The sequence below is a fragment of the Homo sapiens genome, chromosome 12 (genome assembly GCF_000001405.40).
Source record: "Homo sapiens chromosome 12, GRCh38.p14 Primary Assembly".
Classification (NCBI taxonomy): domain Eukaryota; kingdom Metazoa; phylum Chordata; class Mammalia; order Primates; family Hominidae; genus Homo; species Homo sapiens.
The window spans coordinates 104,693,536-104,713,521 of record NC_000012.12 but is presented as its reverse complement, the minus strand read 5'-3'; the positions used below and the strand labels follow the sequence as shown (position 1 = coordinate 104,713,521).

The following is a 19,986-nucleotide window of genomic DNA, read 5'->3' as shown; positions in this document are numbered from 1 at the left end:
CATACAGAGCCGTTTTGAAAAATTTCTTTACATTTGGCTATACACACCCTGGTTCCCACCTGGATTTTGCAGGTACATTGATGGTGCTCAGAGTAGGCAAGGCAGGCAAATAGTCCCATTCCCAGGACACTGGCTTAGCTTGGCTGATTTCTATCCTGGAGGGCTCCATCTCACAAATACACCTACAATCCACTGTCTCACTTTGGCTAAAGAGTGGGAGACAGTCATGTCATGTCAAATCCCCAAGCAGAATAAATGCAGTCCAGCCACATCCTTGAATACCTATTGGATTCGGAGGAGGGCCCGGGGTGGAAATATCTACAACCTGGCCTGTGTTTGATAAGGCTGAGCTCCTGGAATGGTGTGGCCAGGCTGGGTTACAAGGCATTCATTATTTGTCTTCTGTAGCTGCCAGCAGATCCTTAAGAACACGCTGCTGTGTGCTAACCATTTTCCCTATGTCCTTACTGCAAGCCGCATGAATTAGGGGTTGGACTTGTTTAATGAGTGCATTTTCTTATTTATCTCGGGGGTCCTGGAGGGGAAGGTGGGAAGGGGGATGGGGTTTGCTTGCACAGAACAATAGAAGATTGTCTCCTAAAATAACAATCCCCCTGTCCCCAGCCAAATAACGGAAGACTTTAAGTTGCCAGGGTCAGGGCCTATGAGAACTACCCAGCCAAACTGGCATCACCCCATAAATTGGGAGAAACGGTCTCCATTCATTCAGCCCAGGAGAAAAGGGCATTTATGGTGTTGTAGAGGGAGGTTTCAAGAATGATGACGTTGGTTTTAGGAATTTCCATGCAATGTCAGGGGGACTGTTCAGGGACTGAGGCTCTGGCCGACCAGGATTTCTCTCGGCTGGTAGTTCTGAGGGTTAACAGCTGATTAGTGTAGACGTGGCCAGCTCCTTCACACCAAATGCTTTCCAGGCAACTCCGAATGGAGTTCAGGGGCTGGGAGAAAATGGCTGCCTGGCCTTTGGAAACAGACAGACCTGGATTTTGACCTTGGCTCCACCATCTTCTAGCTGTGTGTTCCTTCACCTTTCTGGGTCCTAATGTCCTCACGTGTAAAGAAGTGGTTGTACAAGAAGGGGCGGCTGCTGTGAGGCGCTTTATACTGGCACACAGTAAATACGAGATCAAAATGGACTATCTGTTCCCTTTGTCTGTTACCTCATTACAGAAGATGAGGAGTCAAGGTGAGATGCTGAAGGCACACTCCAAACTTGAGTTTCACCCCTCAGTTGGCTGTGCACCTGGACAAGATGTTGTGTTTATGTGGGCCTCAGTTTCCTCAGGTGTCAAATGGGAATAGGAGTAACAGTACCCACCTCACAGAAACCAAATGGTACAGTTGGTGTCAAATGCTCACCCCGCGCCTTCTGCATGGTGAACACTTGATAAGTGTGAGCTCCCAGCTTGACTTTTCCATCCTAACCACTCATTCCTGACCTGCCCCAGCCCAACCTTAACGTGTTCTTACCCAATCAACACATTCCCAGTGAGACTCAGCTTTTCCCCCAGAACACTCCTCTCCTTCCAACATCAGGTGCTGCCTGTCCCGTCCCTCCCATAAAGCTAAACTGTGGTCAGAGGCAGCACCAGCTGGACTAGTCTGAAGCCTCCCGGAAGCTTCTTCTGCCTCAGTGGCCTCCTATTTCTCCTTGTTGGAATGAGACAGTGCAAGTTTGTAAAATCCTGAGCCCCAGGTGGACCTGGAACCCAGAGATGTAAGACTCATCTAAGTCCTGTTTAGCTATTTCCTTCCAAAGTTTTTTATTTTTTATTTTTTTTTAATTTTTAAAGCATCACTTGTCTTTAAAGAATCTGGCTGTCACCTCTACTTCACCCTCTCAGGCCCTTTTAAATTCACCCTTGTAGGCTTAAAAAAATGTCAGTGCACATGGCTGAGAAGAGAATAAACCTCTCACTTCCCACTCCTGCCATCCCCCACTTTGGATTCAATTATAAATTGGCTGACATTGTCCTTGGGTCGTTCCCAAGATTAATTGGGAAATCGCCATTAAGGACTTTAAAAAAAAAATGAGCCTGGCTGTTTATTCACAGTATAAGGGAAGGAGGGATCATTTCTAATTCTATTTCCTACCATCTCCATGTGACGCTGAAACGTCAGCTTTCTTTTCTTTCTTTTTGTAAGAAGCATTTTTTATTTGGATATATAACCTATGCAAGAGTTAGGGCAAGAAAGTGCCAGGGACTGCCTATGAAAGGAAGTGCATCTATAAACCAGTGAAAAAAATTAAATCCATCTGCGAACTTCAGGCACTGTTTTAAAAGGGACATTTAAAAAAGCATCCACAGGGCATCTCAGGAAATGTGCTCTGTGTACAAGCCCATCTTGGCATGAATACAGTTTTACTGAGTATGACACAACACAGTTGCTCTAGGGAAGAAGAAAGAATATACACCCCCCACGCAAATATTTGATAATTGCAACAGGATGTTAAAATGGAAGTTTTGCTAAAACATCAAAATATACTAGATGCTCGATCCAAAAGAGGTCCTGGACTAAAAGCAGACTCTACGATAGAGGCTAATAGCTGGTGAACTACTCTCAACTTGTAACCACAGTCCCACTCAACTTTGCCCACATGGAGCACAAAAGGGTTGGATTTTAGGAGATGGGGAAAGAAGCTGTAGAGAAGTTTGCTGGAGAGATGCTTCAGAGCTGGAAGTCACACCTGCCCATATACCTATGGGAGAAGCCTGGGAGATGTCCTCCCATGTGTTAAATAGAAGAGGGGAGGTTAAATCACTGAAGAGCCTAATATATGTGCCCTTACAGTTTGAGGGGCCACGTTTACTCATCGTCTGGGGGCTCAAACCTGTGACTTACTGCTAACTAACATCAAAGGAAAAGCTGGAGTGCAGCTGGCCCTCCCAGACCTTCCAGGAAGAAGATGAATGTAGCTTCTTGTGGACCAGAGGGGGCCTTGCTCCAGGGAGGGGTCATGCTTGGGCCTGTCCAGGAGGAGGGGTCCCCTGGAAGGGTATAGGATGGATTTCCAGTCCTAGAGGAGCTGAGGAATGAGTTGGGAACCGCAAGCGGGAATGAAGCCTTATTAAGGAAACTGATTCCCCAGAGAGCCCACGGAAGTGCCACCGAAGAAAAGAGCCTGCTGGGAATGTCTGCCCAGTCTGGAGACAGCCAGCACCAACTGAAGACCACGCCAGCGGTGCAAGAATTTTTGTGCATCTTTTCCCTTTCTCCCTCCCTCCTCGCTGCAGCCACAGGCCAGCTGACAGAGGAATCAAGGGCTTGGCTTCACATGAAAAAACTTCTTTTTTTGTTTGAGACAGGGTCTTGCTTTGTGGACCAGGCTGGAGTGCAGTGGCGCAATCATGGCTCTCTGCAGACTTAACCTCCTGGGCTCAAGAGATTCTCTCACTCAGCCTCCCAAGTAGCTGGGACTACAGTCACATGCCACCAGGCCTGGCAGATTTTTTGAATTTCTGTGTAGATGGGGTCTTGCTGGCTGTGTTCCCCAGGCTGGTCTCAAACTCCTGGACTGAAGTGATCCTCCCACCTCGGTGTCCCAAAATGCTGGGATTATAAGCATGAGCCACCATGCCCAGCTGAAAGTTTTGAATAACAGCTTTACTGAGATATGAGTCACATACCATACATTTCACCCATTTAGAGTACATTATTCAATGGTTTTCAGTTTTTGTTATTTCAAAAAGAAACCTTGTACCCACCACCCACTTTCGCTGTTACCCTCTGTCCCCATCCCCCTACCCCTAAGCAACCATTGACCTGCTCTCTGTCTCCACGGATTTGCCTATTCTGGACATTTCATAGAAATGGACCGCAGGGTGCCCTGCGACGGGCTTCTTAATGAAAGAACCGCATGGGCTGGCTGAACTCTGCAGCTTCCTAGTCTTGGGTTCTCGGCAGGTCACAGTAGCACCTGCCTCAAAGGAAGGTGGTAAGGATTAAATAAGATGTTCCCAGTCAACTCTTTCATTTGCACAAGCTCACTCCAGCTCCCCGGCCCCACCCAGAGCTGGCAGAGAAATCTCCAGCATGCTTTGCAATGGTGGGCATCACTATGAGGACAGTGCCTGTCCCTCTACCGGACGACAGCCTGTGAGGGCCACGTCTGCCTTTTGGCTTTCCTGTCCCCAAAGCCACCTGCCACATGCCTGGCTCCTATCAGAGCCTCATGTACTTGCTACCTGATGACAGGAGGAAGCTGAGGAGAGAGAGAAGGCCCTGGAGCGAACCCTGGGTGTGGGGGCGAGGCTGTGGGTGCAGGGGGCTCGTAGGTCCCCACAGGAGGGCCAGGAGGCAGCATCAGATGGCAGGCTAACTCTGTTGCTTTCTGGTCAAGTTTTAAGCATTTCTTTGTTTTGCAGTTTCTTTGTCATTGACATCTGCTGCTTTGTCTTGCTCTGAAGGCAAATGTAAAGCCGAAACCGGGTCTTGGTGCTTTGCTCCTCCTCATCCCGGGTGCCCTATGTGAACATGCTCTGTCCTTGGGCCCAGGATGGCTGATCCCCATTCCTTGCCCCATGACCTTTCTCTTTCCCTACATTCACAGCTTTGTCATCTCCTCTCCGTAAGGCCACATTCTATGAAGCTACTAAGGTGAAAATGACACACTTTTCAACCGATGCTCACTGGGGCACCCGAGGGGCCCCTGCCGCATCGCAGGTAATACAGGGTCATCGTGCTGGAGCCTTCTGGAGATGGGGGAAGATGGAGCGAGAGTAGACCCATCTGAGAAGTCACAGATGGCATTTCAAGGGGATGTCTCTACATGGCCCAGACTGTGGTTTTCTAGAGAGCGTCCCTGTCAGAGGGGAGCCCAGCCTGGCTTCCGTGTGACCCCAGAGATGGTGAGGACGGCATGGGGTGGGCTGGCTAGGAGGGGGCACCTGGAGGAAGATGAAGCCTTGGAGGACGGAGTAGGGACACCCTGAGCACCTTGCAAGCTTGGCCAGCCTCGGAGCTGTCACTCCTCATACAGAGCCTTGTTTCCTCCTCACCAGGATCCTGCCAGAGATAGGAGATCCTCACTTTACAAAAGAGGTATCTGGGCCCAGGGAGCTGGTCCAATGCCGTACAGCTGGGCAGGGGCACAAGTGGGTCCCACACACCTGCAGGGAAAGCTGGCGCCTTTGACAACCCTGCTCCCAGCTCATCCCCACAGCCGCCCCCGGGAAGGAGGCATGACTGTCATCAGCCCCATTTCTCAGGTGACGAATCAGGCTCTGTGAAATAAAGTAACCTGACCAAGGTCACTCAGTCACTCTGTGGAGATTTGAACCCAAGTTGGCCTAACTGCAAAGCCTGTGGATGCACCCACCCCTAACACCCCACTGACTTTGGTTAGTAGAGAGGCTGTGTTCCACACTCTCCCTTGCCAGGGTGCACATCTGAACATGGCCCGACAATCTCCCCGGGGAGGAGAAGGTGTCAGTGCATGGAACAGAATAAGGATGATTGTGTATGGACATGTGTGTTGTGTGTATGTGCATGTGTTGAATAAAACTGTGTCTGTATGCACATGCATGCTTGTGAGCATGAGTCTGTATGTGTTTGTATCTGTGTGCATGCCTGCATGTGTCTATGTGCACATGTGTGTTTGTATATGCACACATCTGTGAGTGCACTGCTGTGTGCTTGCACCTGTGTGTGTTTGAATGTATGGATGTATCTGCCTGCATGTATGTATGTGTCTATGTGTCCTCGTTGTCAGTGGGTATATATGATACATGTATCTGTGTGTGTGTGCATTTGTATGTGAGTGTGTAAATGATCCCATGTATGTCAGTGGAGATTTAGGAGACTGGGTCCCCTACAGTGGAAAGTTATTCATTTTTTTCAGCTAATAGAAAACAAAGGAATCTTTTCTTCAGGTTCTGCTTTGGGGCCCCAGAATGTAAACTTTATGCGACTAGGTTTACAGTCTCCAGGGGAAGAATGTTCCTTTTGAAGTCATCTAGGCTGAGAAAACTTAGCATTCACTGCTGAGTTTCAAATTTTTTGACTACTACATGAGAAATAAAGTATATCATTCCATATATATTTCTTAAAACAACAGTTATCCTTACCATGTGTAGTGTGCGCTATTTTTTATTTTTTCTATTTCACTTTTTAAATGCCAGTAACTATGAGTCACTAAAGTGATATCACAGCCCATTCGTGGGACATGAACTACACTTTGAAAAACGCTGGCTGGGGGACCCCTGCCCCGACTCTGTAGGAAGGGGTTTCACCCACCCATTTAGCAAATGAGCACTGAGCAGTTACTTTGTGCCAACTACTTTTCTAGATTCTTGGAAAACAAGTTTCCTGCCTTCTTGGCACTTTCATTCTAACGGAGAAAATGAACCACCAACCTAAAACACTTCCATCATTTCAGGTGGTAGCAGGGTCTGGGAAGGTGCTGCAGTGGGCTGGTCTGGGAGGACTTCTCTGAGGAGGTGACAGTTGCACTGAGACTCGGATGATGAGAAGGAGGTGGCCTTGGCAGGAGGTGGGAGGACGACTGTCCCGTATTTTCTTTCCAGTCTATGCCGCCAAAGGGTGGAAATGGACCTCAATTCAGAGCCTCGCTGTGATCCCATCCTCCTCCCGACCCCTTCTCTCCTCTCCCCTTTCAGCTACATTTTGCCCCAAGTTCTCCATATTAAAATGTGGCAGCTCTACAGTGGCATAGACTCATTTTTTCCCCCTGGGACATTAAAATATAACATTAGTCTGACAGAAGATAGCTGAGTTTGTGGAGGGCAATTTGGTTGATCAATAAGGCTCAGGAATGAAGGGGAGAGGCCAGGCAGGTGGTGTTGAGAGCCTCGTGTCAGAAAGCCCACTTCCAATGAGACAAAAACAGTGAAAAGAGACCTTGCCCCCAAAGTCATTCAAGGCTGGGGGCTGCCTCTCCAGGGATAGAAAGTGAATGTCTCCTGGTGTAGGTAGGGTCATCTCCCTCACTGCCAGGGGGTCGCTTCTCAAATGCCATCTACTCAGTGAGCCTTCGCTGACCACTCTATATATCATCTCTCTCTCTCTCTCTCTCTCCCTCTCCATCCACTCACCCACCCACCCACCCACCTGTGTACCTACCTATCTACCTATCTGTTTTTGTTTGTTTGTTTTTTTGAGACAGTCTCATTCTGTTGCCCAGGCTGGAGTGCAGTGGTGCAATCTCGGCTCACTGCAACCTCCGCCTCCCAGGTTCAAGTAATCCTCCTACCTCAGCCTCCCGAGTAGCTGGGATTACAGGCATGCGCTACCACACCTGGCTAATTTTTGTATTTTTAATAGAGACAGGGTTTCACCATGTTGGCCAGGCTGGTCTCGAGCTCCTGACCTCAGGTGATCTGCCCGCCTCGGCCTCCCAAAGTGCTGGGATTACAGGCGTGAGCCACTGTACCCACCAATATCTATCTGTTTTTGAGATAGGGCCTCATTCTGTCTCCCCAGCTGGAGTGCAGTGGTGCAATCACAGCTCACTGCAACCTCAAACTTCTGCACTCAAGCAATCCTCCTGCCTCAGCCTCCCCAGTAGCTGGGACTACATGCATGTTCCACCATGCCTAATTTTAAATTTCTTTTTTTTTTTATTTTTTGAGACAGAGTATCGCTCTGTCTCCCAGGCAGTGGTGCGATCTTGGCTCACTGCAACCTCTGCCTCCCAGGCTCAGGCAATTCTCTGCCTCAGCCTCCTGAGTAGCTGGGATTACAAGCGCATACCACTATGACCGGCTAATTTTTGTATTTTTTGTAGAGAAGGAGTTTCGCCATGTTGGCCAGGCTGTTCTCAAACTCCTGGCCCCAAACAATCCTCCTGCCTTGGCCTCCTAAGATATTGGGATCACAGGTGTGAGCCACCGCGCCTGGCCCTGCCCACGTTATTTAACCTGCAGCCCTTACCTTCCGGACTTGCTATATATTAATATTTCGCTTGCTTATCTGTTTATTACCCGGCTCCCCATCTAGAGTGTGAGCACCACAAGGGCAGAGATTTTTATTTTATTTCCCATCTAAGGCACAGTTGGTGCTCCAAAAAATAGCTGTTGCCCAGGTCAATGAATAACAGCTCCCATTTACCAGGCGCCTGGGATGTGCTGAGCCCTTTACATACCTGCGACCCCTGGTCCTCATAGAAACCCTGCAAAGTGGTTACTATCATTCCCATTCTAGAGATAATAAAACGGAGGCTCTGAGAGGTGAAGGCAACACAGGGAATCAGCGATGAATTTGGAGCCGAAGCCTGGGTCTCCCTGGCTCCAAACCCTCCAGGCCATGACGCTTCCACTTAGCAAACAGTAACACTGTATACACCAGGTGACCCACACCAAGATCTTCCCAAAAGCAGGCTCCGTAGGCAGCAAGCACTTCTCCACATTTTGCCTAAAGAAAGTGTGAAGGTGCTGTTATTAATCAGCAGAGAGGCTTCTCTGCCAAACAGCTGGCCCATCCTCTCTGAGGGGAAGGAGAGTTTCATATTATAATATTATTCATAAAAAATGTCCATGCTTTTTGTTTCTCAACACACTAAGGCATACGGAACATAAACAGGTAGAAACCTATGCCACTAAATACCCTTTGTCAAGTCCCCTGAGATTGAAGCTGGGTGCGCTCCTCTCAGTGCCCCAGGAGGAGTACTGAGGGGCCAAGGTGGCCGGATGATGCGGGATGTGACAACAACCTTCCGCTTTCCTCCATACCTCGGGGCCAAGCCACCAAGAACAAATGAGCCAGGCATCTGAGCCCTCCAAAGGCCGGGGTTCTGAGGCCTCCAAAGGCCAGGGTTCTGGGGCTATCAGCAGCATGATTTTGGTTAGGGACAACAGCTGTTTGTATTTTTTGAACTACTCTAAACAGCAGATTGACAAGGTTTTTATGCCCTGGAAAGAGAACAAAAGACTTGGGCCATGGCCTTCATTCTCAGACTCTTCTGGCTAAAGCCTCCAGCTGAGAGGCAGAGAAAGGCCACAAGCAGTGACGGTCAAGGCAGCTGGGTCCCACCCCCTCCTCTAACCAGCAGCAGTTCCCAGAATGCCTGGGCAGAACCTGAGCAACACAGGTGAGGCGGGGAGAGCCCAACACAAGGTCTCACCTCTGCAGGGGCTGCTGCCCGGCTCCCGCAGCTTCCCCTTCCTCCCTCACCTGCAGCCTCCCCCGCCCCAATTAAGCCAGGTCTGGAGCCCAGTTCCTTCCAGGAGACCACAGCCCTGGCCTTCCTGGGTCTCCCTGAGCACGGAGCCAGAAGGCAAGGGTTAGGCCCCAGGGAAGTGACACAGACAGTGGGGGGAGGTAGGGGTGGAAGGAGTTTGCTTCCAGAATATATCGAAGTGACGGGCTGTCACCTTTCTCTCACACTGTCCAGTTCCCATGGCCTGAACTAAGCAGTGTGTGCATTGCTTCCCAGGCTCGTCTCTACACCTTCCGTTCGACGAACGTTTGACTTCCCACTTGGTGCCAGGCATTGGACCAGGCCCTGGACACATATCCCATTCAACAAAAGGAGAATCAGCTACGAACCAGGCCCTAAGGAGCCGTTACAAGAACCCGGTCGTAACTACCAGCTATTGAACTAGGCACTGTTCTAAATGCCCCTCACATGCAAACTCATCCATCCTCAAAACCAGGCGTCGATGATAAGTGATTTTTTGAGCAGAGGCCTGAAGGAAGTGAGGGAACTAATGGGGAAACCTGGAGGAAGGGTGTTACAGGCAGCGTTGACAGCAAGGCAAAGGCATGTGCCTGGTGTGTGCTTAGCATGTGCCTGGTACATGCGAGGAACCACACAGTGAGCCTGGAATGGAGTGGGCAGTGCCAGGCCTCACAGGCCACAAGGAGGCTCTGAGCTTTCACTCTGAGCTGGGAGCCCTTGGAGGTGTGAGTGTGGGAGGAACATGATCCGACTTACGCTGTAGACCAGCTCTGGCTGCGGCAGTAGAATGTTCTCAGGTGGGAGAGGAGGTGGAGGATGGGTTCATCCAGGTGAGACTGGAGAAGAAAGACGGCAGCCGGGGTGGGGGGAAGTGGTTGAATTATTGATCTCCTTTGAAAGTAGAGCTGAGAGGACCTGCGTGGGCTAAACGTGTGGCATGGAAAAGGAGGATGTCACAGAGGCCTCTGAGGATTTTACCCTGAAAAGACCAGGTTGCATTTGTTGAGGTGGGATATCTGAGCTGTTTCAGACCTGTCAAATTTGCAACGCCAAATAAAGATGGCCAGGAGGCAGCTGCGGGAACAAGTCTGGGGTCCGAGAGGCCCGAGGTGTCAGCTGCCTCATGCTAAGAACAGGAATTATGAATGCATTCACCTAGCACATACTCTAGGGTGCACCCACTATGGCCCAGGCACTGTGCTAGGTGCAGGGGATGCAGCAGGAAGCAGACAAAGTCTCCGCCCCGGTGAGTTCCCATGAGCCAGCAGGCACGCAGCAGGCAAGATGACAGGGAAAGTCACTGGGGAATGCGAGAAGCCAGCATTGCGTGTGATTAGTCCTAGAGAGTGTGGGTGTGGGGCTGTGGGGCCAGGAGGTCAGTGGTGACCACACGCCTGCCGTCCCCTCCAGGCTGCTTTGGAACTTGCTGCTAAGGCATGAGGAGGACTTGGACTCCAAGTCTGCAAAGGGCGCCAGGCTCGAGTTAGATCTGAACGGCGTCCAATCTGCTGGAACCCATTATCGACTCTCGCCGACCCGCTGTCCGCCCTTGGAGAAACGTCGAATTGGTACTGTCTGAGCCAACATCAGCTCAGATGAATAGCAGGGGATAACTTAATGTTCACAACGTGCTTGAAGAGACTGCTGGGGGCAGGGTGGAATCTGGGAAGGAGCTGAGAGAATGGGGAGGGAGAGATGATTTGCCCCAGTGCGGGGGAGTCGCTCAACCACTGGGACAAAGGGCTGTCTCTCCTCTCCCTGCAGCTTCCTGAGGGACTGTGAGGAATCAGCTGGGTGCAGTCCTCCCATGTCCCATCAGTCAACATCACAGAATGGGTTCAGGACCACCGTGAGGAATCAGCTGGGTGCAGTCCTCCCATGTCCCATCAGTTGACATCACAGAATGGGTTCAGGACCACCCAGGTTCCCAGACTTGCTTGCTGTGAACCTTGTGCAAATGATTTAACCTCCCTATGCCTCAGTTTCCATATCTACAAATTAGAGCTGCTGTGCAGTCTCACAGAATTGTTGAGAGAAGTGAATGAAATAGCACAGAGCATGACTTAGAAGTGTCTGGCATGCAGTAGTACTCAGTAATTGTTAGCTATTATTATTATTATTTATCAAGCACCCAGCATGTGCTGGTATAGGGATTTCTTTGAAATGGGCAATGGAGGATTTGGTAAGATGGTAGGGTGAATTAAACACTATCATGAGTTACCTGGGGTAGAGACATTTTCTCCAACAGTCTTTGAAAATGTCATAGAGCAGAGTCTCTCGGCCTGCTTCTCGAATGAATAAAAGATGGGCTTCTAGAACCCAAGGTGATCTTGGCAGTGCTTGGTGCAGCTCACATGAACCTGTGAGGCCAGCCTGGCTGCCTGCCAGAAATGAATGCCTCTCAGTCCCTCCCTGACCCCAAACCAAGGTGAACTCCACTTGAAGCAATATTGGGAGCCCAATACTGGCAGGAGGGGAACACAGCCAGAGTCACTGTGCCCCCTGCCATGTCCAGCACCCAAGTGCATATCAGGCTGCACCTTCCCTGCTCAGTCCCACCTGAATTGAACACACAGACCGGCCTGGGGCAGCCCAAGTCCAGGCTTCCCCCTACTTCCCATGGCTTGGTAAGATGGCAGGGTGAATTAAACACTATGAGTTACCCGGGGTAGAGATACTTTTTCTCCAATGGTCTTTGAAAATGTCATAGAGCATCCTAAAGTCTCACCTGGAGGGATCCTGCTAGTCTGCTCAATGCCGAACATTCCTGAACAACTGTGTCTTTAGCCTCTGCTTGACTCCTGCAGTGACAGGGAGCTCTGTACTCCCAGGCAGCCCGCCCCATCTTCTCAGATCTGGGCCTCTCGTACTGGAGGTTATTAGCCCACCCCACGCAGTGTGCCCGCCGGGTTCACTTCATGCACCTATGGTCAGTCTGGGGCTCACAGAAAGCAGGGACCTTCTCATTTCAACCTCAATGATTTATTTTTGCCTGTCCCCAATAACATTGAGTATAAGAGATGTCTTATTATGAAACAGATTTTCAGATACATCAAAGGGATTGATCCCATCTCTTTAATGGAGAGAACTGAGTCAGTAGAAAGAGGGGACACATTCTGGGCAGAAAGACATGGGTTTGGATTCAGTTTGGCCACTTAGCAGCAGGTTAGTTAACTTTGGCCCGGTTACTCAACCCCTCTGAGCCTCATCTGTGTCAGATGGAGGGGTTATAAAGAGGAGATGAGACTGTGTGTGTCATGGGACTGGACTATGGCAGGCATCTGGTGTTATTATTGTTGTTGCTATATTTTGCCTGTCCAGCTCCTATGGGGTTCAAGCAATTCCCCTACCTCAGCCTCCCAAGTAGCTGGGACTACAGGTGTGCACCACCATGCCTGGCTAATTTTTGTATTTTAGTAGAGACAGGGTTTCACTATGTTGGTCAGGATGATCTTGATCTCCTGACCTCGTGATCCACCTGCGTCAGCCTCCCAAAGTGCTGGGATTATAGGGGTGAGCCACCGCGCCCAGCCCAACTTTTCCTTTTTTGAATCTATGTCGGTTTACATCTTAATCCTTTCATTATGCCATTCTCCCAAAAAGCTTCCCTTCTCTGGGATACTGGGTGATATCCAATAATACCTGGCATAGAGTAGGTGCCAAAAAGAAAAAGTTTTTGAAACAGCAATCAATAGCAATATGAATGTATTACCAGGTGCCAGGTACCACGCTAATTGCTTTACATACATTAGTCACCTATAACCCTCCCATCTTACACAGGAGCTAATTACTAGTATTATCCCCATTTTACAGATGAGGAAACTGAGGTGCTCAGTTCATTTGTCCAAAGTCACATAACTAGTAAGATGTAGGGATGGGATATGAGCCTAGATGATTGGATTTTGAAGACTGCTCTTTTGACCACCATAGTAAATATGTAATTTTCAGAGCCATTTAAGCCTACAGTGACTCCTGTGGAATAATGAAGGAGGCAGGCACTTCTGTATTCCAGGACTTTGGGGATTTCAGAATGGGTTCATATGATTTTCTTTTTTATTTTTGGTAGTTTAAAAATTTTATTCTATCAGTATTTTTAATAAATGTTTATTGCTGCATTCCCGACACCCCCAGTGTATTACTGTTTCATTGTTTTGCTATCCTTGTAGTACTGGAATTTAGTTGGAAGAATAAGACATTTACTTCTAATCTGATTTAAAAAAAACCAGATGGGTAGTATTTGAATACAGCCAGTGTTTTAAATGTAAAAGAAAATGTTTAATCTGGTATTTCTAGAGTTGAGTCATGCATTACAGGCAATGGGATAAAAGTGAATAATTATAGTAGTCCTGTGGGGACAGCTGTAAGAGAGATGGGCACCACAGCTTGCCACAGTGGGCAGGACTGTTCCTAGTTTTGAGTGGAACCAAGAGATTTGGGGAAGGATTGCAAAAGAAGATAAAATTATCGAGGGCTCCCAGGAGGTGCTGGCCTCATCACTCTCAAGCTGGAGGCAGCATCATTTCCCGCCCCTGCTGATGAAGCTATAGTGACTATAGTCACTGCAAGTGGAGGCCCAAGATCCTTCCCCAAATCACTGAGATCCAACTGCAGGTGAACAAAAGGGCTCCAGTTACTCTGCTTATATTACAGATATAAGAGAAGTGAAACAGCCTGTCTAGGTCCCATAGTAGGTAAGTGGAAACCACGTGTTATGCGTCAACCTCATTCACTCATTTGTCCACTCAAAAGACATTCAATGAACACCAACTATCCGAAAGCCACCAGGAGGGAAGCACCATGTCCTCAGTGACCCTACAATTGAGACCAGTGCTGTCCCATAGAGGGAGATATCATGCAGGCCACACTTACAATCTAAAATGTTCTAGCAGCCACCTTCGAAAGCAAAAAGAGGCAGGTGGAATAAATTCTAATCATTTATTTCACTCAATATATCCAAAATATCATTTTAACATGTAATTAATATTTAACAAATATTAATGAAAGAGATATTTTACTTTCTTTGTACTCTTTGAAATCTGTATTTTATACTTATGGCACATCTCAATTCAGGCTGGCAAAATTTCTAGAGCTCAGTCACCACACGTGAGCTACCATACTGGAAAGCACAGATCTGTATGTACAGTTCTCAATCTCAGTATATGTTAGAATCATGTGGGGAACATCTACAAAAATACAGCTTTCCAGGCCCCACCCAAAGATTTGATTCATTAGATCTAGGGTGAGGCCTGAGATTTTGTATTTTAACCAGCATTCCAGGGGATTCTAATGCAACTAGTCATTTTGGAAGCAGTGAGCTGAGAAAATGCAGCCGAGTCATTTATTGTGCCTTCTTAGAGACTGGCCAGATAGCCAGTGAAGAGTCTTCCCTAATTCATATTGATTAGGAAAAGCTTGGTTTTTAACTAGCTACGTCAGAATTAAAGACAATATTCAATCACATTCAATTGAATTACTTTTAAGTATAAAGAGTAAATTCAAAAGAGTTTCCAAGTAAACAGTGCTTGCTTTAGTAAACAGATAAGACTTCCTGATTAATAATAAAGAATATTCATTTGCACATGCTATGTTAAACTCTTGAAATACTAATTTATCTTCTCAAGATTAAACAAACCTTCAATCATGTCTCCAGTAATTTGCTCAGCAGAAAAACTTTCTAACAGATAACAGACAGTTGAGTGGTAGCACTGCCTATGCCGAGCTGGTAAGTGCAGGAAGGAAGGTCAGGAGACATTCACCAATATGCTTTAATTGAATGCCTTCTGTATACCAGACACAGCCCTTAGCCCTGAGACTACAGAGATGGGTGAGAACTTTGGAATTACAGAGCGCGCACTGTAGCTGAAGAGACAGGTGATGATAGGTAGATAACTCTACGGAAGCAGACAAGGAAAAAGATAGTCCTGCACTGGAGCCCGAGGAAAGCTCCCTGGGTAAGAACTGAGCTTACCAAGTGACTTCTAGGTGACAGGAAAGTGTTTCACAAGTAGAGACAGGGAACATTGGCAGAGGGAGCAAGAACATTGTCATCAAGTGCTTGGAGTCATGTGGGTGAGGAGGTGGAGAAGATGGAGATGATGCTGGAGAAATGGGTTGAGGTTGGGATGATGAAATGCCTTGATGGCCAGGCTAAGGCATTTGGGTTGGGTTCTGCAGGTAATGAGAGGCCATAGCAACAGTTACAGGGGTGCACTGAACAGGGCTCCAGTCAATGATGGATGAATAAATGGCTTGATATGTGACTGCATGAAATAAACATGCTGATGCATTCAACTAGGGGACATTGACGCCAGGAGACCAGTAAGGACACAGGGCACCCATCCAGGCAAGAGATGAGTAATGAGGCTTGGACCAGGTGCTGACAGCAGATGGGAGAAGAGGCCCAAATATTCTTAAATGACCCAGGTAAGAAAGTCAAGACTTGGTCAAAAATGCCATAGGAAGTCGCCCTTTACTTGGCAAAGGCTGACATGCCATGCCACTGTGCATGGTCCCAGGAAAAGAAAAGAAAAGTGCTCCTGAGTCCAGAATCTCCAGGAGCCCTGAGGAAAGATGATGTTGAACTCTGGGATTTACAAAGCATTCCTTTTCATGGGCAGGTCATGCCACTTCTGAGCAAGCTCCTTGTTTTAAATTTTCTTATTTTTTTCAATGGAGAGGCCACTTAGTTGGGAAGAAATACAAAACATCTGTGTGTTAGGGTGCTCCAGAGGAACAGAATCAGTAGGATATATAAGACATATATAAGAGGAGGTTTATTATGGAAATTGACTCGTGTGATTATGGAGGCTGTGAAGTCCCATGATATGTCATTGGCAAGCTGGAGAACCAGGAAAGCTGGTGGTGAGATTCAGTCTGGATACGAGGGCCGGAGAACCAGGAGCTCCGACGTCCCAGCTCAAGAAAAGAGAGAATTGGCCCTTCCTCCACCTTTTTGTTTGATCCAAGGCCTCAAGTGATTGGAAGGATGCCCGGCCACACTGGAGAGGAAGCTCTTCTTTACTCAGTCTACTGATTCAAAGACTAATCTCTTCCAGAAACACCCTCACAGACACACCCAGAAATAATGTTTTACCAGTTATCTGGGCATCCCTTAATCCAGTCACATTGTCACAAAAAATTAACTATCACAATATGTCAACACGAAGCAGTGAGGAGGACCCAGGGAAATCGGGGTCCCCATCCACTGCTGGCGGGTGTCCTGAGACACACACTATAGGGACACACTTATACTTGTGCATCTGAAGGCAGACATGCACCAGGATGCTTTGATCAATGTTATTCATAATGATAAAAAAATGGAAGCAATTTATCTGTCTACCTATAGGTAGATACATAAATAGAATGCAATATAATCATATGATGGAACATGATACAGTAATTGGAACAGACTGAGGGATCCACAGGGCTGGACATCAAAACACATAGTTGTACAGAACAGGCAAATTGAAGAGTAATATATTCAGTATGATAGCACCTACATAAATTATGAAAACATAAACCTGTGTTGCATATTGTATCTGGGTCCAGATATAGGAGTCACAGTATAAAACAAACACTGGAATTTATATTGTAAATTCATAAGAGGTTGAGAGGCAGGGATGAAGGGGAGAAGAGGAGATTCAAAAGAGATTTCTACCTTGGTGATGGTTTGTTTATTTTATTTTATTCTTTTTTTGAGACCGAGTCTCACTCTGTTGCTCAGGCTGGAGTGCAGTACCGTGATCTCGGCTCACTTCAACCTCTGCCTTCCCGGTTCAAGCAATTCTCCTGCCTCAGCCTCCCATGTAGCTGGGAGTACAGGTGTACAGGTGTGCACCACCACGCCCAGCTATGTTTTTTTTTTTTTTTTTTTTTTTTTGTATTTTTAGCAGAGTCGGGGTTTCACCATGTTGGCCAGGCTGGTCTTGAATTCCTGACCTCAAGTAATCCGCCCGCCTCAGCCTCCCAAAGTGCTGCGATTACAGGCGTGAGCCACCGTGCCTGACCCTGATGGTTTATTTCTATTATATAGGCAGATCTATAAAAGATCTGAAGCAAATATGCCACAATGTTACATTTGTGAATTCAGGATGGTGAGTAAAAAGTGTTTATTATATCATCTGCTGCACTTTATCTTCAAAAATTTCCCAAGTAGACAAAAGGAAAAAAGAAAAAAGGTAGGGTGGGTGGGAGCCAAACAGAAGGCTTGGAAACCATTTCTGTGCTCTTTGCACAGCAAAGGGAGCATGCAGATGGCGAGTTAACATACCTAGGAGGCTCCCCTGGGGTTTAATGTTGCATTGTGTACCCTCAGAACGACTGCTCAGCAAAGGCAAAATAAACACATTTCCTGTGCTTCCCTTTCTCAGCTCCGCAGCCCTGCCAAAGTGGGGGTGGGAGGGTCACATCATTTATTTACACAAGGTCCTCTTTATATGGACACCTCCAATAACGTTATTCATCGGGTTGGCTCCTCCAGGGCTGCCCCACTGTTCCCAGCAGGCCAGGAGTGTGACTTCACGGTGAAGCGTCACGTCCAAGTTACTCTGTACGTGGCAATGCCAGCTACCCACAAGAAAGGAGGGCTGTGAAGGGGGAGCTGGGGCCGCTTCTGGGTAATGGATTTCCCCCGCCCCCATTTCTGGCAAAGAGCTCTGTGGTCACAGAATTAAAAAAATCTATCAATTGTAAGCTAAGGCACATGCTGGGTGGAAGTGAGAGTGAGGGAACCTATTCTTATCACTAGCTCTGAGGTAAGATAGAAATGTCTGGAAGCTCCCCGCTTGCAGCTGGGAACTGTGCCTTAGTCATCTTTATGTTTCCATGGCTTTGCACAAAGTAGGTGCTCAGGAAATGCTTGTTCAATAAGCAAACCACAAGGACACATACACACACACACACACACACACACACACTCATTGTGTTGTGAATTGTGTTTTCATGAGTTTTCTTTCTCTTCACAGACAGTGTCATCTAATGGTTAAGGATGTTGATTCTGGAACCAAACTGCCTAATTCTAGGAACAGACACAAAACCTCTACCTCAGTGCCTTCAAACTATCAGGCCTTGGAGGGGGCTGAGCTGAGGCCCTCCCCACAATAGCTGGCACATAAGGAGCATTCGAGGAATGTTGGCAATTTCCAAATTTAGTCTCAGGGCAAGCCAGTTGGGAAGGCAACACCATGTCCATCTTACAGATGGGACAGCTGAGGCTCAAAGAAATCCTGTTGCTTGTGAAAGGCCACACGTGTTCCTGCCAAATGATGATGCCAGGATCTGAAGGCAGGGTGTCAAGCTTCGGAGAACCCCCCAGCATCCCCTGTGGCTCCATTTCTCAACAGCTGACTCAAGGACCAACAGATCTTTCTTGGCTGCTGTGTTTTCTACCCAGCAAAGGGTCCGGTGGGAACCCCCTCAGCCAAATGGGAGCCACTGACTTCTGTGGGGCCCAGAATCTGACTCAGGCCCAGGGAAATCTGATTCCCACGTCAAAGCTCAGGACTCGGAGCTGCACTGGTTCCGAACACAGAGCAGGCATAAAGTTCTGATGCCAGAAGAAGGCAGGAAACTCCAACGAGCTTTAATCACTCTCCCATCACGAACAGCTCTAGTGACAGCTTGGCCTTTCTATCCCAGGAGTTCAAAGAGTTTCCATCGTTCATTCTCACAAAGGCCCATGTCCCCTCTGCCTCGTTCCTGCTTCACTTTATTGAAGTAACTGTGACCCCAGATAGAATCCTGGCAGGTGACCCAGGTGAAGTCACCCGCTTCGTTAAACTCATTCCCTCCACTAATGCAGCGTCAAAACAGGGGGCTGTGCTCTTGACCACACCCAGGTTTTTTAAGAAAATGACCACAAAAACAAAACAAAACCAAAAAACACATTCAAAAAACATTTTTTTCAAAAGTGGCATCTTGGCCACCTTTGAACTCCGGGGCCTGGTGCAGCGCCCAGTGCAGGATAAGTGTTTGATGAATGCTGAGTAAGAGGAATGAGAAGGCAGCTAACAGCAGCCCTGAGAAGCAGTGCTATTACCCACATTCCACAGGATCAGGAAACAGATTCAGAGAGGTTAAGTGGCTTGGCTGGGGCTGGACTGCGGCTGGAGAGTGGAGGTAGGTTTGAATATGGGTTTTTGCTGGCTCTTGGGGGCTTTTAATGTAGGTACGTCCATGATACAAGCTACCCCCTGCCCCATGGTCTATACAATACCTGGCAAAGCTTTCTGATGAATAGATATGCCATAAAGCTGGGTAAGACCACAAACTTTGAGATAAATGTGCGGGCCAAATCCAGTTAGCTGCCTGTTTTAATATGGTCCTGGAGCTAAGAATAATTTTCATATTTTTACATGGTTTTGTTTTAAGTAACTATACAAGTTCCTATGTAATATCCTTGATATTGCCTCTTGGCCCACAGAATCTAAAATATTTACTATCTGACTTTTTAAGAAAAAGTGACAGATCCTTGATGTAAACTGTATCTCATTTTATATAAGCGGTCCCAGAGAGTAGGGGTGTGCCCGAGCCCAGAGGCCTAATCTCTAGATTGAGGCCTTGGTATCCATTCCATCTCAGCTCTCACCACTATGTACTTCACTTTGGCTAACTCCTACTTATCCATCAATCTCATCTTAGTTGTCGCCTCCTCCAGGAAGCCCTCCCTGACCCCCAGAGACCAAATCAGGGGCCCTTCTCTGTGCTCCCAACTTCTCATGGTCCCTTAAAACCCCCATGTCCTGACACTTGGCATGCTGCATTAGCATTGCCACTTTCTTGTCTCCCATCCAGTGGACTGTAGACTCCACAAGGGCAGGCACCATTCT

General features: G+C 47.7%; 1 protein-coding gene across 4 annotated transcripts in view, besides 3 other annotated features; it reads right to left on the bottom strand.

Moving 5' to 3' along the window:
* Window positions 1-19,986, bottom strand: part of CHST11 (carbohydrate sulfotransferase 11) — a 305,067-nt gene that overhangs the window by 48,493 nt on the left and 236,588 nt on the right. The window lies entirely within an intron of this gene.
* Window positions 3,663-4,467: an enhancer, noted in NCBI's record as "NANOG-H3K27ac-H3K4me1 hESC enhancer chr12:105102833-105103637 (GRCh37/hg19 assembly coordinates)". NCBI's record gives its function as "activates a minimal SCP1, AML or CMV promoter by ChIP-STARR-seq in primed H9 embryonic stem cells {active_cell/tissue: H9 hESC(primed)}" and the evidence as "EXISTENCE:reporter gene assay evidence [ECO:0000049][PMID:30033119]".
* Window positions 4,468-5,272: an enhancer, noted in NCBI's record as "NANOG-H3K27ac-H3K4me1 hESC enhancer chr12:105102028-105102832 (GRCh37/hg19 assembly coordinates)". NCBI's record gives its function as "activates a minimal SCP1, AML or CMV promoter by ChIP-STARR-seq in primed H9 embryonic stem cells {active_cell/tissue: H9 hESC(primed)}" and the evidence as "EXISTENCE:reporter gene assay evidence [ECO:0000049][PMID:30033119]".
* Window positions 17,661-17,800: an enhancer, noted in NCBI's record as "active region_6931". NCBI's record gives its function as "activates an Ori minimal core promoter by ATAC-STARR-seq in GM12878 lymphoblastoid cells {active_cell/tissue: GM12878}" and the evidence as "EXISTENCE:reporter gene assay evidence [ECO:0000049][PMID:35858748]".